Source organism: Homo sapiens, chromosome 4 (assembly GCF_000001405.40).
Source record: "Homo sapiens chromosome 4, GRCh38.p14 Primary Assembly".
Classification (NCBI taxonomy): domain Eukaryota; kingdom Metazoa; phylum Chordata; class Mammalia; order Primates; family Hominidae; genus Homo; species Homo sapiens.
Window position 1 is genome coordinate 118,047,209 of NC_000004.12, and position 18,537 is coordinate 118,065,745.

Genomic DNA, 18,537 nt, shown 5'->3' on the forward strand with positions numbered 1-18,537 from the left:
CTATAGAGAGGCTTGGGCATGTGAAAACATCCAGAAACAAATCCAACTGAAGTACTCAAATTACGTCATTGTTAAAGAAACACTGGACTTCTTAGATGCGAAAGAATCATGGTAAGACCTCTGGCAATTTAAAAAGTCAGAGTGTCTCCTCATCTCCAGATGAATCCACTAGCTCCCCAGCAGTGGTTCTCAACCAGTCTGAAATGACTGAAATGACAGACATATTATTTAGAATCTGGATGGCAAGAAAGGTTGAGATTCAGAAGAAAATTGAAACCCAATTCAAGGAATTTATTTATACTATCCAAGAGATGAAATATGAAATATCCATTTTAAAAACGAACTAAACTGAACTACTAGAGCTGAAAAATTCAGTATAAGAATTTCATAATACAATTAGAAGTATTAACAGCAGAATAGACCAAACTGGGAAAAGAACTTCAGAGCTTGAAGACTGGCTCTTCGGGCCAACTCAACTCAGACAAAACTAAAGAAAAATAATTGTTAGAAATGAACAAAACCTCTGAGAAATATGGGTTATGTAAAGACACCAAATTTATGATTCATTGGCATTCTTGAGACAGAATAAGCAACTGGGAAAATATATTTGAGTATATTTCCCTAATCACACTAGAGAGGTTGAGTTGCAAATTCAAGAAATACAGAGAACCTAGGCTGCATACTATATGAGATAACCATCCTTAAGGCACACAGTCATCAGATTCACCAAGGTCAATGCAAAAGAAAAAATCTTAAAGGCAGCTAGAGAGAAGAAGGGTCAAGTCATGTACAGAGGGAATCCCATTAAGCTAGCAGCACACCTTTCAGCAGAAACATTACAACCAGAAGAGATTGAGAGCCTATTTTTAGCATTTTTAAAAACAAAATTTCCAACCAAGAACTTCATATGGCACCAAACTAAGCTTCTTGGGAGAAACAGATATAAAATCCTTCTCAGATAAGCAAATGCTGAATGAATTCATTTCAACTAGACTGGCCTTAGAAGAGGTTCTTAGGGAGTGCTGAACATGGAATTGAAAAGCAACACCTGCTACCCCAAAAACACACTTAAGCACACAGCCTGCAGGCACTATAATCCACCTAGACAATCAAGTCTTCATAACAACCAGCTAACAACATGATGACAGGACCAAAATCTCACAGATCCATACTAATCCTGAATGTAAATGAGCTAAATGCCCCACTTAAAAGACACAGAGTGGCAAGCTAGATAAAAAGACAAGACCCAACCATTTGCTGTCTTCATGAGACCAATTTCACATGTAATGGTACCCACAGGCGCAAAGTAAAAGGATGGAGAAAGATCTACCATACAAATGGAAAATATACAAAGATCAGGAGTGGCTATTCTTATATTAGATAAAACAAACTTCAAACCAATAAAAATTTAAGAAGACAAAGAAGGGCAATACATAACAATAAAGAGTACAATCCGACAACAAGACTTAACTATCCTAAATATATATACACCCAACATTGGAGCACCTAGATTCATGAAACAAATTCTTCTTCACCCACAACAAAACTTAGACAACTATACAATAATAATGGGAGATGTCAACACCCCACTCACAATGTTAGACAGATACTCAAGGCAGAAAACTAATAAACTCCGGACTTAAACTTGACACCTGACCAACTAGATCTAATAGATATCTACAGAACTAGTCCACCCAACAACCACAAAATACACATATTTTTCATCTGCACATAAAACATATTCTAAGACTGACCACATGTTTGTTCACGAAGGAAGTCTCAATAAATTTTAACAAACTGAAATCATACCAAGAACATTCACCAACCTCAGTGCAATTTAAAAAATCAATATCAAGAAGGTCTCTCAAAACTACACAATTATATGGAAATTAAATAACTTGCTCCTGAATAACTCCTTGGTGAACATCAAAGTTAAGGCAGAAACCAAAAAATTCTTTGAAATTAATGAAGGCAGGGACACAACTTACCAAAATCTCTGGGATGCAGCTAAGTTAGTGTAAAGAAGAAAGATTATAGCATTAAATGCCTTCATCAAGAAGTTAGAAAGATCTCAAATTAACAATCTACCTTTGTACCTAAGGGAACTAAAATAAAGGAACAAACATACCCCCACAGCTGGCAGAAAAAAATAAATAACTAATATTAAAGAAGAATTAAATGAAATTGAGATGCCAAAATCCATATAAAAGACCAATGAAACCAAGAGTTGTTTCTTAGAAAAAAATAAACACGACCGATAGACCACTAGCTAGAATAACAAAGAAAAATAAAGAGAATATCCAAAAAAGAACAATCAAAAATGACAAAGATAACATTACAACTAATCCCACAGAAATAGAAATATCCTTAAAAATACTATGAATATCTCTACTCACATGAATTAGAAAATCTAGAGGAAATGGATAAATTCCTGGAAATGCAATCTCCCAAAACTGAATCATTAAGAGTTTGAAACTCTGAAAAGACCAATATCAAGCTCTGAAACTGAATCAGTAATAATAATAAAAAAAAAAAACCCTACCCACCAAAAAAAGCACTGGAGCAGATGGATTCACAGCCGAATTGTACCAGACATACTAAAATGAACTGGTACCAATCCTACTGAAATTATTCCAAAAAATTGAGGAGAAGGGGCTTCTTCCTCACACATTCTGTGAAGCAAGCATCAGCCTGATACCAAAATCTGGCAGAGACACAATGAAGAAAAAAAACTTAGGCCAATATCTCCGATGAACATAGATGCAGAAATTCTCAACCAAATACTAGGAAAACAAATCCAGCAGCACATCAAAAATTTAATATGCCACAATCAAGTCAGCTTTATTTCTAGGACGCAAGGCTATTTCAACATATGCAAATCAATAAATGTCATTTACCACATAAACAGAATTAAAAGCAAAGCCATATGATCATCTCAATAGATGCAGAAAAGCTTTCAATAAAATTCAACATACCTTCATGATAAAAACCCTTAACAGTCTAGGCATTAAAGGAACATATCTTAAAATAATAAGAGACATCTATGACAAACTCACAGCCAATGTCATACTGAACAGGCAAAAGCTGGAACCACTACTCTTGAGAACTGGAATGAGATAAGGATGCCCACCCTCACCACTCCTATAGCACTGGAAGTCCTAGCCAGAGCAATCAGACAAGAGAAAGAAATAAAGCATCCAAATAGAAAAAGAAGTCAAACTATCTCTCTTTGCTGATGATATGATTCTATACCTAGAAAATGCTAAAGATTCTGCCAAAAGGTCCCTAGAACTGATAAATGACTTCAGGAAAGTTTCAGGATACAAAATCAATATACAAAAATCAGTAGTGTTCCTATACATATATCAATAATGTTAAAGCTGAGAGTCCAATGAAGAATACAATCCCATGTACAATAGCCACAAATAAAATGAAATATCTAACAATACAGCTAGCCAAGGAGGTAAAAGATCTGTACAAGGAGAACTAAAAAACACTGATGAAATAAATCAAAGACAATACAAATAAATGAAAATACTTTTCATGCTCATGGATTAGAAGAATCAGTATCATTAAAATGGCCATACTGCTTAAAGCAATTTACAGATTCAACACTACTATCATATTACAAATGCTATTTTTAAATAAATATAAAAAAACTGTTCTAAAATTCACATGAACCAAAAAAGAGCCCGAATAGCCAAAGCAATTCTAAGCAAAAAGAACAAAGCCAGAAGCATCAGACTACCTGACTTCAAACTATACTACAAAGCTACAGTAACCCAAACAGCATGGTACTGGTACAAAAGCAGACACATAGACCAATGGAACACAATAGAAAACTCAGAAATAAAGCCACACACCTACAATCATCTGATCTTTGGCAAGGCCAACAAAAGCAAGCAATAGGTAAAGCACTCCCTATTCAGTAAATGGTGCTGGGATAAATGGCTAGCCATATGCAGAAGAATGAAACTGGACCCTTACCTTTTACCATATACAAAAATTAACTCAAGGTAATTTGCCTAGGCTGTAATCCTAAGCAAATTAAGTAAGCAAGTTAATTCAAATGCAGGACATCAAACTATAAAAATTTTAGAAGTAAATCTAAGAAATACTGTTTATGATATCAGCCTTGGCAAAGAATTTTTGGCTAAGTCCCCAAAAGCAATTGCAATGAAAACAAAAGTTGACTAGTGGGACCTAATTAAACTAAAGAGCTTCTGAACAGCAGAAGAAACTATCAGCAGAGTAAACAGACAACCTACAGAATGGGAGAAAATATTCACAAAGTGTGCATCCAACAAAGGTCTAATATCCAGAGTCTACAAGAAACTTAAATCAATAAGAAAGAAACAACCAACCCCCTTTAAAAACAGGCAAAGGACATGAGCAGATGTTTCTTCAAAGAAGCAATCAGGCAAGAGAAAGAAATAAGGCATCTAAATAGAAAAAGAAGTCAAATTATCTCTCTTTGCTGATGATATGATTCTATACCTAGAAAATGCTAAATATCCTGCCAAAATAGTCTCTTTATTAAAAGAAGACATACAAGTAGCCAACAAACATGAAAAAATGTTCATCATCACTAATCATCAGAGAAATGCAAATCAACACCACAGTGAGATATCATCTACACCAGTCAGAATGGCAATTAGTAAGAAGTTAAAAGATAACAGATGCTGGTGAGGCTGCATAGAAAAGGGAATGCTTATACACTGTTGGTGGGAATGTAAACAAATTCAGCCGCTATGGAAAGAAGTTTGGAGATTTCTGAAAGAACTTAAAACAGAGCTATCACTTGACCACAGATTCCATTACTGGGTATATACCCAAAGGAAAATAAATCATTCTACTAAAAAGATGCATACACTTGTATGTTTATCCCAGCACTATTCAAAATAGTAAGATAAACAATCAAACTAGATGCCAATCAAGAGTGAATTGGATAAAGAAAATGTGGTACAAATACACCATGGAATACTATGTGGCCATAAAAAAGAATGAAGTCATGTCTTTTGTAGTAACATGGATGTAACTGGAGGACATAATCCTAAACAAATTAACTCAGGAACAGACAACAAAATACCACATGTTCTCACTTACAAGTGGGAGCTAAACCCTGAGCACACATGGACATATACACAAGAACAATAGACACTGTGGACTATTAGAGGGAGGAAGAAGGAAGGAGGACATACACGGTGGAAAAACTACCTATTGGGTACTGTGCTTACTGCCTGGGTGACGGGATCCATACCGTAAATGTCAGCATCCCACAGTATCCCCAGGTAGTAAACCTGCATGTGTACCCTCTAAAATAACGGTTGAATTTTTTTAAAAGGAAAAGAATTCCTTAGGTGCCCAGGTAAATCCAAGCATGGCTGTACATTATTTTGGATTTGACTAGCCAGGAAATATGTGTTTGTTTCCCATTAGTTCAACTATCTGAGAAAAAATATTGTTCAGTTGACAGAGATATATACACAGTTTGCTTAACCTTCATGCACTCAAAATACTCTTAACAGTAAATCTGTATCAGTGTGCTGTGATACCAGAGGAAGTGTAATCCTAATAAATGTAGAACACCCAAATAAAAAAAGAAGCACTCATGTTTCTTTCTTATTATTTTTCAAAGTTACTAAATTTTCAAAGGTTACTAAGACTTGAAAGGGATTTCAAATTATTGCACAACAAAGTGTTTCATGAAGTCTCAGTTGTTTTCATTACATTTTTAAAAACATTTTTGGAGTAGTTTTTCACATAATTACTAAACTCCTCAAAAAGCGGAAATAGAATGGTATAGAAAGTGAATCAATAGGTAAATTTGCTCTTCTCCAAGAGTATATGGTTCCCAATGGTCTCACACCAGATTTGCAGAAACCCTGGGAAGTATTTTATTCCTCATATTCATCTTACCACATGACTGTTTTGATTTTTGGAAAATGCAACTATGAAAATATGCAGTTCTAAAATAATGAATTGCATTGTGGGACCATATATGCATTTTGAAAGGGTTATTTTAATGAGAGCAATTATCATAAGGTTGTTTCTCTAATGAATGTAAAATGTGTATACAATGATAAAATTGACTGTGCCATCGACTTTGCAGAAAAGAAAAACACATGTTTTAATTATGGCATAAACATTCAGTACCTGTGATTAAAAACAAACAGCTTGAGTATGTATTACATAATGTATAGCCAGATGGCAAGAAATGGCAGTGTATGACTTAGGTGACCTCTCCGTGGTCTTTGTTGTATAGTATCTACAGAGTTTGATGCAAAGCACAGTGAATATCATGAAATTTTCTGTTAGCCCAAAGTCTTTTTTTTACTAGGAATAGAGGGCTCAATGGACCCCTTTTCCTCTTTCTACCAGTCCCATGTCCTCACACAGATCTGGGAGAAGAAAAGGGAGGGCTTCGAATTTACTATACACCAGTTCATCTGCCAAGTACTCTGCCACTTATGCTAGTCAACAAGATAAAAACTTGCTTATTTTAATGCTGCAAACTGACTGTTTTATATTCTTTTCTATTTTTCAGACTGTATTTTCTGTGAGTCCTGATCAAGTGATACAAATGAGCTGCAATGGTGACATAAACTCTTGACAGAGATTGGAAAAGTAGCTGGAACACCATCTTTTCTTTTAACTTTTTATGGTGCTTCTGTTGGCATAGTTGGGGAAAGCACCTACAACATGAGTTTTATCATGAAGCTTCACAGACACTTTCAAAGAACAGTCATTCTGCTTGCCACTTTTTGTATGGTGAGCATTATCATTTCTGCTTACTACCTGTACAGTGGCTACAAACAGGAAAATGAACTCTCTGAGACGGCTTCAGAAGTTGACTGTGGCGACCTCCAACACCTACCATATCAACTAATGGAAGTGAAAGCAATGAAGCTTTTTGATGCCTCAAGGACAGACCCCACAGTCCTAGTATTTGTAGAGAGCCAGTACTCATCTCTTGGTCAAGACATCATTATGATTCTAGAATCAAGTAGATTCCAGTATCACATTGAAATTGCCCCTGGAAAGGGAGATCTCCCAGTGCTTATAGACAAAATGAAAGGCAAATACATTCTCATTATTTATGAGAATATTTTAAAGTATATAAATATGGATTCCTGGAATCGAAGCCTTCTAGATAAATACTGTGTAGAATATGGTGTGGGTGTCATTGGATTCCACAAAACTAGTGAGAAGAGTGTACAGAGCTTTCAGTTAAAAGGTTTCCCTTTTTCCATATATGGAAATCTTGCAGTAAAAGATTGTTGTATTAATCCTCATTCTCCATTGATTCGTGTGACCAAATCTTCCAAGCTTGAAAAAGGTTCTTTACCTGGAACTGACTGGACAGTTTTTCAGATTAATCATTCAGCCTATCAACCAGTAATATTTGCCAAAGTAAAGACCCCAGAAAACCTTTCTCCTTCCATCTCTAAAGGTGCTTTTTATGCCACTATTATACATGACCTGGGGCTTCATGATGGAATTCAAAGGGTTCTTTTTGGCAACAACTTGAACTTTTGGCTGCACAAGCTCATCTTCATAGATGCCATCTCCTTCTTATCAGGGAAGAGGCTGACATTGTCCTTGGACAGGTACATTCTTGTGGATATTGATGATATATTTGTGGGAAAAGAGGGAACAAGAATGAACACCAATGATGTAAAGGTAAGGCTCTATTTTCTCAAGTTTCAAAGTTCAGTTCATCTTCCAGCAGGGATACAACTATCCCAGTTTGTACTACAACTGGGTTACCCAGGACATGGGATTTACTGGGAAAGTCTGGGCAATCTAGGATTATCGCTCACCCTAAATCAACTAAGAAGATTATGTATTTCTATCTGAATCAAGAAAAATAAAGATTTTACTAAAAGATTGAGTGTGGCAGGATCCTGAAATGGTTTTCTACATGTATTTACAACTAGAGTAGAAGTCATTTCGTTTAATTACTTTCCAGAAACTATCTACCTCAAAAAAAAGCTATTACTAATCTCAGACTTAGCTCATTTAAATATGAAATTAAAGTGAATTTGTCTTAATGATAATAAATATTTCCACAAATTTCAAGAATTACAGATCTCATTGTAGCAAGTTCAGATACTTTTGGAAGTCAAATATGCAGTGCATTTTCTCTTATCATATTTTTCTGAAACTGAAAATCAGTACTACTAAATATGAAGATCAATGACTGTATAAGCATATTTATTCACATTTAAACATGAGGATTTAACTTGATTTCAGCGAACACTTCTGACACATATATGAAGCCAATCATGCCAAATTTAAATTGTATTACATTTCTTATTGTGTAAAACTGCTGCCCTTAAACAGAAAACAATTATTTGAAATAGTTTGTCATTATTATGAGTTGATTGTGTTACATAAACAGCTGATTGTTTACTATTAAAAAATTTTAAAATTAAAGTTATCTACATTTGTCTTAGTTTCCAATTCGAAATGTCATAGGATTCTATCTCTGTTATACTATGTATTGATTTCTCATAAAAGTGAGACTTTTGATACATAGTTTTTATTCTACAGTTTTGACCTTTTGGTAGAATATCTAGAATCAAATCAGAGAGCAAAAAATACATCTTGAAAACTTTGTTCTTTTCTCTAGTCACTAAGCATCTGGCAAATAATAGTAATGTTCATCACACTAGTTAAGTGGGCTAAGAATACCAGAAGGACCATTAAATGTTACTGTAAGAGAGTGTGAAGACTGAAAAGAAAAAAAACTTCCATATTCTTGGCACTATTTTAGTCTCTTCCTTTTAGCTAAACAGAAATTAATAAAGAAGCTGTATTTAAGTTTCCATTAAGTCTTTGTACTTACTTTTGAAAATATAGCTAAATTAAAACCAAGCTGGTAGTTTAAGCATTTATTAGGTGTTTGAAGATTACAAGCAATATATAATTCTTCCATTTTTTTTCCATTTCAAATGATTTTGGTGAGAAATGTTTTCAATATGAATATATTTCTGAAGTGAAATTGTTTGAAACTGTCAAATATATATTGTTATAGAATTTTAAAATATGGTAAATAAATCCCTGAGTTTTGTATGTAGCCCCCTGTTTCCCCTAATATTATACAAAATACAAAATGCCATTTGTGCTCCAGAAGTTAAGCCAGTTTTCAGGGGTATGAAAAATTAGAGGCTTATTGAACACATTAAAGAAAAATTTGGCATGTCTACTTTATGAACTGCTCATATTTAGATAGAAATATATTTTCTAAACTAACTAAATGCTTTTTTAAAAAATGTGTTTTGAATAATCTGGGTTTTTTAATTACTTCTAAATTGCATCTGTGATTGTGTCTCAAAACACTAATTTACTACAGTCAATTGCCCTGAGAGTATAAACAGTCATTCATGTATTCATTCTGTAACTAGTTATTAAGCGTGTACTACATGTGAAGCACTTTTTGGAACTTACAGATAGAATCTTGAACTGTAGTCCATTCCAGAGAAGAGGGGCAGGGGAGAGTAGAGTCATAGGAAAGCACATTGTGCTGAGCATCTATCCGTTCAGTTCTTGATATGGCTATATCCCATTCCAGACATAGAGGCAGGCTTTAGGGATACAATGATAAAGTGGGGGTGATAAATAGGTAAATAGCTTGCAACATGGTAAGCACAATAGCAAACATATCGACACAGTTTCATATAAATTATGTTGTGGGAAACACTACAGTGTGTGCTGTGTACCTGTAACTTAAGTATGTACTTAAGTATGTACTTAAGCATGTAGGACAGAGTTCAAAGGCAAGACTAGATTGATGTGATGATTTGGAAAGATGTAGCAGTAATTCAGACAAAGACAGCAATTTCTTGAAACCAGGAAATTGGAGTAAGAATGGAGAAGGAAGGACCAAATTAAGATCTATTTAGGAAGTAAAATTGAACAACTTAGTAATTGGCTGAATGGAGATGAAAGAGAATATAATCATGACATTAGAATTTGTCATGAAAGAGAATATAAGGATGACTTTAGGATTTTTGGCATAGGTTGATAATTGTTGATGATGTGAACAACAGTAAGTAAGAGGATCATAGTGAAGATCATTAAAGGTCATAATAAAAATTTCAGTTTTATTAAAGTCCATGTGGGATGCAGAGCATTTCACAGGTAGTTGCCTCACAGGAAAAGTCTGGGTAGGAAATACAGATTTCAAATTCATCATCCTATAGGGAATCATTCACCACATGAAAGTGTGTGAGCTCAGCCAGGGAAAAAATTTAGAGTGATAAGAGAAGATGATCAAATGTAGAATATTGAGGAAAATCATCATTTAGAAGACAAGTAGAGGGAAATATCCCTTGAATAAGAGTTTGAAAGAACAGTCAGAGACCAGGAAGCTGAGATGCTATAGCTTCAGAAAAAGTGTGATCAGCAGTATAAAACCCAACAGCAGGGCCCACTGGGCTAAGGACTGGAGAGTCTCCTTTGGGAAAAGACAAAGATCACTGGGGACTCTTGCATAATCTATGTGAATGGAATGATAGAGACCGAAGCCCATTTGCAGTAAGTTGGAGTCAGGAGTTGACTAAGGGGGTCAAGATGTGAAGAAAGAGAGTGTAGAGCACTCAGTGGAGACATTTTTGTATAAAGGAAAAAAGAGAAATTATACAGTAGCTAGAGGGTAGACTGGTTCTAGGAAGACCAACCGTCCTGGTTTGTCCAGGACTGAGAGTATTTGTTGCTAAAACGTAGAGTCCAAGAGTTAGATAGGGTGACCTAACTAAATCAGATAAGGAAGAATAATCAAAAATCATGAGGTCTAAAAAAATCATAAATTTTGTGATTAAGAGTATATAATTAGTATAAATGTTTAAATCAATTATTTTATTTAATTATTACCACTTATGAGCAAATATTATATTTTCCCTATTTGAAGTATTGGGAAAATTTAAAAGAATGTGAGAAAATCAAAAGTTACATAAACTGTTATGTACAAAATTGGAAGGAGAGTGCAAGACATAAATTTTAACTAGCAAACTAATCACTGCATGGATGTTATTTTTTTTCTTATGTGGAATAGAAAATGTGCTTCCTTATTTAATGGGAAGATTTGAATAGCAATGCAATATCAGCTTTACCCACCTAGATGTTGAATAATATGAGTATATTTTAAAGATCCTCAAAGCCACAGAAGAAACTGTGACATGGCACAAAGTGTTTCATTCTTTGTGCCACAAAAAGACAAAAAAAAAAAAAAAACAGACCTAAGTTGAGGTCTTTGTTTGTCTAGGAATATGCAAGCTACAAGCCATAGCCTGTAAAGAACCAAAGAAGAAAATTGTTTAGATAATTCAAATATTCCTTTAAAAAGGCAGGACAAATTTCAGTGAAATTGAAGTCAGGAAAAGTGTGTGTGTGTGTGTGTGTGTGTGTGTGTGTGTGTGTGTGCGCGCGCGCGCACGCATGCATGCAAACGTGTTCCATTGGACTATTGGATGAGTTTTAGTGACGTTCAAAATTTCAAGTTCCTTGTGATCTACAACCTACCCTCAAACTTCCCGACTAAGGGTTTTGGGAGAGAGAAAGTGATGTTTCTACAATTAAAAAAAGCTTCTACCATTAAAGCATTTGTTTTACATGAAAGCACTTCATGACCCAGTGAACACTAATAACCCATGTGATCTTTTAGGCGCATTAACTCACTCTTGTTGTAAGATCCATTATACCTTTAGACCTACCATTTCATATAACATTTATCTCCCAAGACATCTGAGAAGTCAAATGAGAAGATTCTGGAGAAGGTGGTCTTTCAGGGTTTTACTGAACTCCTTGCAGTTGAATACTCTCAATGCATAAAAGAGGTTACATATCACTCCCTCCTGCATCTCTCCCTTCCTCTCTCTCTTTGATTTCTGTAATAGGTACACATTCCTTTCAAACTTTGAGAAAATTCCTAACATTCTTCGGAAAATGAAGAACCCGCCCAGTCACATCTGAGCTTACTGAAGAGGTAACTGTGGCTCCTCCTGGAGCATCTTGTACTTCTTTCTGGAGGTACTCAACAGCCACTTTCCTTTTTTAACTACCCCAGACCTTTCTCACTATTTTCTTACATTTCAATATACCATAACTTGTCTATTTGTGGATTAGCCCTTAAAAAATCTACATTTTTAAAGTGGCCCCAGAAGAAAGGGAAGTTCTTAAATTTTTAATACAATGTCATGAGTGGCTATATCATTATTTTCCTCTCTAATGGAAGATCCCAGAGTACCTAGAGAAAAGAAAGTGCTGAAAATAGAAGTGGGAAGCTAGAAAACTGTGAAAAATAAGAGGTATCAAGCTCAGAAGATAAACTCAGCTGACTTTTCAGTCTTGCTTGGGGCTGACTGTGGGAAGCTCTAATTGGAATGTAAAGGTGCGCTCTGTGCTGCTTGACTTCACCACGAATATTCACCACCCCAGCTAAGGGAAGCCAGAGGCTTCATAAAATCACTAAAAAATAACAACATACCAAATATTGGGAGGAGGAGGAAAACACAACTGCAATCAATTATTCTGTCATAAGTACACATAAAAGGGTAGCAAAAATTTCTCCAGACAGTTCACTATTCATGTGCTCTGTATGAATGTCAAGATCTGTACATTGTACATAGTATTAATGTTTTGTCATTTTTCTCCTAAACTCATATTTCTTGAGTTCCTTTCCATTATATCTGATGTTTCTTATCTCTTATTTACTGATATTCATTTAATTTTATTATGCTATAGAAGCATGTATCTGCTTGATCCCATTACTTCAAATTTGCTAGATTTACTTTATAACTGGATACAGTATGCCTCATGTACTTGATAGGAACATATATTATCTAATCAAGGTATACCAACACAACCTTGTTAACTACATTTTTCAAATCTGTCTTCTTACTGTATTCTTTTTTGGGGGGTGAGGGAATGGAATGGTATCCCTGATGCTACCAAAAGAGTTATGTTTAATTTTCCAACTCTGATGGTTGATTGTAAATATTTCCTTGTTCTGAAAATTATTGCCTTCTATATTTTGAAGCTATGTTAAGTGCACATATTTTGAAATTGTATTTTAATATGTTTTTTCATTCTATGTTATCTTTTTAACTTTATTAATGTTGTTTTGCCTTTGTTTTGCTTAATGCTAATACAGCTATACCAGCTTTCTTTTGATTACTATTTGAGAAATATATCTTACTCCTTTTTTATATATTTTTAATCTCTCTCCTGTCTTTGCACTGTAAATTAGCTTTGAAAACAGCTCCTAGGTGAACTTTGCTTTTGGTCTACTCTGTCAATATTTGTCTTTTAATTAACAAGATCAATCTACATATAGTTAATTGGATTATCAATGTATATGGATTTATTTCAGCTACTTTATTTTGTGCTTTATATTTGCCCCACTTGTTATATTTCTTCTCTTCTTTCTCTCTCTTCCTTTTTACCTTCATTTGAATTGTCAGTTTCTTTCTTTTTTCTATCCATTCCTGGTTTAAATGAATGTATTTTATCTCTTTTTTTTTAGTAGTTTCTCCAAAAATTTAAACACATGCACTAAACAAGTGCCAATATCTTCATACCTCAGTCAAAAGGTACAAAGTTCTTTATCTCCAATAATGCTCTCTCTCCTTTGGCGGTTGGGTTATTCTGGTTCTAGATGTTAATGTTGCTGTTTAACACCGGATATTAGGCACTGTTGTTTTTACTACCATCAAAGTTTTATTAGATTTGCCAGATTTCTACTGTTTCCTTTGCCAACTGTTCACCTTTTCTCATCCGATGTGATTCTCAGCTTCTACACCTTACCCCTTTCTGTAAAGAGCAGACAGTCATGCCATTGACACGTAATTTTGATCATGACCCCCCTCTGCTCAAAACCCTCCAGCAACTTCCAGTGTCTTTATCTCTGCTACACGCCCAGCTCCTTTTCCCTCACGCTACTGCAGCCTCTCTAGTATCTTTGCTGTTCCTTGCTCCTGTTTCAGAATTTTGCACTTGCTGTTCTTTCTCCCTAAAGTGTCCTTCCCCCAGATTGGTGCATGGCTCTCTTCTTTGCTTCCTTTAGATCTTTACTCAAATGTTACTTTCTCAGTGAAGTCTTCTCTGACCATTCTCTTTAAAGTTGCAACCTCTAAATCTCCCATCTTTCCCTGAGAGTGTTTTGTTCTGGCACTTATGATCACCAATGATGTGCTAAAACTGGCTCACATTGGCTTACAAGGTCAATTTTGTGCATCTCCTTCTAGCTTTATGGAAGGAATATTTACACTGTAAAATAGACAAATGTGACAAATCTGGGCTTTTTATTCACACAGACCCAGTTGTTAAAGGCTTCACAGCATGCTACCAGACATACCATGTATTTTACTAATTTATTAGGTTGGTGCAAAAATAATTGTGGTTTTTGCCACTACTTTGTTATTTGGACTATTAAAATGTAAGCTTTATTAGGGCAAGATTTTTTTCATCTATTTTGTTCACGGATGTATCTCCAGCACAGAGAAATGTGCCTGGCTCAGTATATATTTGTTGGATGAATGAATTGCATTCTTTCTGAAGTATATCCTTTAGACATGATAAAAGAAAAACATCAGCTGAATTAAATTTAAAGGAGTTTAATTGAGCAATGAACAATTCATGAATCAGGCAGCCTCCCGAGCCAGAGTAGGTTCAGAGACTCCAGCGCAGCCACATGGTGGAAGAAGATTTATGAACAGAAAAAGGAAAGTGACATACAGAAAACAGAAGTGAGGACAGAAACAGCTGGATTGGTTACAGGTTAGTGTTTGCCTTATTTGAATATAATTTGAACACAACTGACTGGCCAAAACACAGTGATTGGCACAAGTGTAGACTACGGTCTGTTTACACCTCCACTTGTTATAGCTCACAATGTACAGAAAAACCTTTAGGCTGAACTGAAATTATGTAAGGAGGTGGCTTTAGTCCAAACTTTATTTTAAAGACTTCCTTCAATGAGAATCTATTCATGGTAAACCTTCTCAGATTTTATGCATTGTAAATGTCTTTATTTTCCCTCATCCTTAAAAGATAGTTTGGTTGACTTCACAATGCCTAATTAAGTTCCCTCATATATATCCATTGCTGCTCACACTGGGAAGATTGGTCCTCCCTGGAAGTCACCTAAACATTTTTGGTAATAGAATGTCCAGTTCCACTGGTCCCTAATAGTTTTATGATTGTCACAATATTAGGCAATTTGAGACCATTCTTCTCTCCCTCCCTCTCCCTCACTCTCTCTCTTTGTTTGGTGGAATACTTACTTATTTCTACATTTGATATAACGTGATCATATTAAAAATACACAGGAAAATAAATTACTGTCAATATTATTATCACATTCAAATAGCCATAGTGTGCTAGCAACTATACAACTGTACAGTTATTTTAAGGAAATAATTTTATAATTTAACATGGCGAAATCATAAAATAGATTAGCAAAGGGAAAAAACATTTCATATTCATAATCTATTTACTTTTAATATATTGTATTAAATTTGTTGTTACATTGTGAAATGGAATGTTTCTCTACTATTAAGGAGTGATTTGTTATGCAATGACGTTCTAAAAGAATGAGTTATAAATTATTTAAAGAAAGCAAAATGCTGTTACTGAACACATGAATATGTAAACAGGATACTTGGTGACTGATTACATTTTTTAAAGGTCTGATACAGTCTGGGCACAGTGGCTCATGCCTGTAATCCCAGCACTTTGGGAGGCCGAGGTGGTCAGATGACCTGAGGTCAGGAGTTCAAGACCAGCTTGACCAACATGGAGAAACCCCATCTCTACTAAAAATACAAAATTAGCCAGGAGTGGTGGCACACTCCTGTAGTCCCAGCTACTCCGGAGGCTGAGGCAGGAAAATAGCTTGAACCCGGGAGGTGGAGGTTGCAGTGAGCCGAGATCTCACCATTGCACTCCAGCCCCGGCAACAAGAGTGAAACTCCGTTTAAAAAAAAAAAAAAAAAGGTCTGATGCAATGAATCCAACCCACGCATGATACAGGAGGGCTGTCATAAATGGTACCAAAGCTCAACCAGACAATGATGAGTTCTACACACTGTAGTAGCAGAAGAATACAAGAGGCAAATTCAGAACAGAGATTTAGGTTCTAGAGATATTAAGAAAATTATGCACATTTACTTTGTTAAAATAATGTCATAAGATTTCAAAGGATATGCTGATGAATAATGAAACACATTTTTGATAAAGGAAATCAAAAACCTTGGAGAAAATTGTACGATTTGCCAGTTACTGGATTATGTCCTTCTCTTGGTTAAGAGAATTTATTTCTTCTAACATTCCATGTTTCTAGAAAATAAATCAGCATGTAAAAAATCTTTTTTGTATCTCTATGCTGGTGATTTAAACCTGTACAGACTGCAGTAAGTTACTCCCAAAATAGGTAACACTTACTGAGTATGTACGTTGTTTTAAGTGCTTTGCTTCATCATTTAATTATCGTAGAAATCCTATAAAACAAAGATTATAAGCAGCATCATTTTACATAAAGAAACTGAGGCTGATAGATTATGACTAACTTGCCCAAGATCTTACAACTAGTAAGTGGCATTCCTAGAATACAAAATGCAGATCTACCTGGCTCCAAAATCTGAGCTTTTCCACCTCATGTGCTTCACAGTTATGAGCTTAACACAACTGGTGTTAGGTGGTGTCCATAAAAATTTCTTCCTACCAAGCTCCACCTTATGGTAAATTACATCCTATCAGATTCTGTTATAGTTTGATGGGTTGTATCTAAAGCTTTGCCCTAGATTTACCGATAAGTCTGGAACAAAAATTAGTATTAGTCACTTCTTGAAATGTCTTGGGCTGAAATAAATTTTGGATGAATTAGAGTGGCATAGTGACAGCATAGTGACAGGCCCTTCTGGCGCTCAATCAATTAAAGAACCAAAATTGCCCATAATTCTGATAATCTCACTTTTTCTATCTGTATGTACTCAGATTTTAAAGTCTGTGTGATGTTGTAAAGTGCTTTATGAAGGCATTCCTAACATTTTTTTAAAGCACACAAACAAAATAGAAAAAGTCAAGGAAATTCTGACATATTGTCACTTAGTCTCTGGGAAACATGAATTAGTAGCTAAAGCACTTTTTTATTCTTAACTTTTATAGGCTTCCATGAATAATGAAACTGGAGACTGAAGTACAAAATGGATCTTAAAATCATGATGTTAATATAAAATAAATGATGAGATCTACTTGACATCATTTATAAACTGTTTATAACCAAAGAAATATAGCCAACTTATTAAACTTCTAGATAAACTGAAATTTTTAAAATTAAAATTAAAATTTACCTATAAAATACATATTAGAATTTTACCTTAAAAGATTATATGCTTTCTCATTTTAATATTAATAGTTATAATGATTATACAGGATTATTAATAGTTATTAGTTACACCAATTACTAAAACAGCTATGTATGGTTTTCTATTAATGCCAAAGCAAATTACCACCAACTTAGTGTCTTAAAACAACCCAAATCTGTCATTTTGCATTTCTGAAGGTCAGACATCCAACATGGGTCTTACTGAGCTAAGTTCAAGATGTCCACAGGGCTGTGTTCCTTTCTGGAGGCTCTAGGGGAGAACCCATCACCTTGCTTTTTCCATCTTCTAGATTCCGCACACATTCCTTGGCTCATATTCCCTTCCTTCATCATTAAAGCCAGAAATACTCTCTGTGCCTTATTTCATGGCCACATCTCTCTCAAACTGGAAAAGGTTCTCTGCTTTTAAGGATCCGTATGGCCCACCTGGATAATCCAGAATAATCTCCCCATATCAAAGTCCTTAACTTAATCACATCTGCAAAATCTCTTTTGCCATGTAATGTTCACATTCACAGGTTCCAGGGATTAGGACATGGATTTCTTGGCGGGGGAGGTAAAGGAGATATTATTCTGTGTACCACAAGCTATGCTCTTCAGGTAATCATGCTACAATTCTTACAACGACTCAACTCCCGCAAGAAACTCTGCTACTCTACTACTGTTTTCCTCACTGGGAAATGAAATCTTGATGGCATATACATGCTCAAACAATTACTCTAGATCTCTGAGTCAACAGTAGTTAACTAGGGAAAATTAAATTATTGTGCTGTTAAACGCTTCATATCCCTTACACACAGGAGGTTAAACATGGGGGAGCAAGTAACTCTTCCTTCACTTAGATGTCTTAAGAAATGTACCTCACCAAAGATTGCTTGGTTGGAGCAGATGTGTGACTATCATCAATTCATTACTTTAGGAGTTTCTAATATCATGTTTCTAGAAGTGCATCAATTATGAGACTAGAGACTGTTTTGAAAGCCAGTTGATTAGGACTACCACATAGTCACCTAAGCACAGTTTACCATTTTCATTGTTACCATTTCATTATACTTTTATTTTTCTATTTTGTTCTCTTTGATTTATGTTTCTGCATCCACCTCAGTTTCAGTGCCCTTATTGTATTGGCCTTTCCCCCTTTGGAATTT

The 18,537-nt window shown here is 35.0% G+C and overlaps 1 protein-coding gene and 1 long non-coding RNA gene across 12 annotated transcripts in view; one reads left to right on the plus strand and one right to left on the minus strand.

The window, feature by feature from the left end:
• The window catches only part of NDST3 (N-deacetylase and N-sulfotransferase 3), a 225,313-nt gene that overhangs the window by 13,887 nt on the left and 192,889 nt on the right, over nucleotides 1-18,537 (plus strand). For 9 of the 10 annotated variants that reach the window (NR_146513.2, NR_146514.2, XM_006714416.4 and 6 more), the window contains exon 2: nucleotides 6,548-7,683. Coding sequence is in view for 7 of the 10 variants with exons in the window: in XM_006714416.4 (XP_006714479.1) it covers nucleotides 6,703-7,683 (981 nt within the window). In the remaining 3 variants the exon portion in view is untranslated. Of the gene's footprint in view, nucleotides 1-6,547; nucleotides 7,684-18,537 lie in introns of those variants that run through there. The other variant, XM_017008844.2, reaches the window with a different exon arrangement.
• LOC107986307 (uncharacterized) overlaps nucleotides 7,529-18,537 on the minus strand; it is a 149,690-nt gene continuing 138,681 nt past the window's right edge. For both annotated transcript variants that reach the window (XR_007058243.1, XR_007058242.1), the window contains exons 3-4: nucleotides 9,454-9,590; nucleotides 7,529-7,617 (exon numbers count right to left, since the gene is read on the minus strand). This is a non-coding gene — a long non-coding RNA (uncharacterized LOC107986307). The remainder of the gene's footprint in view (nucleotides 7,618-9,453; nucleotides 9,591-18,537) is intronic.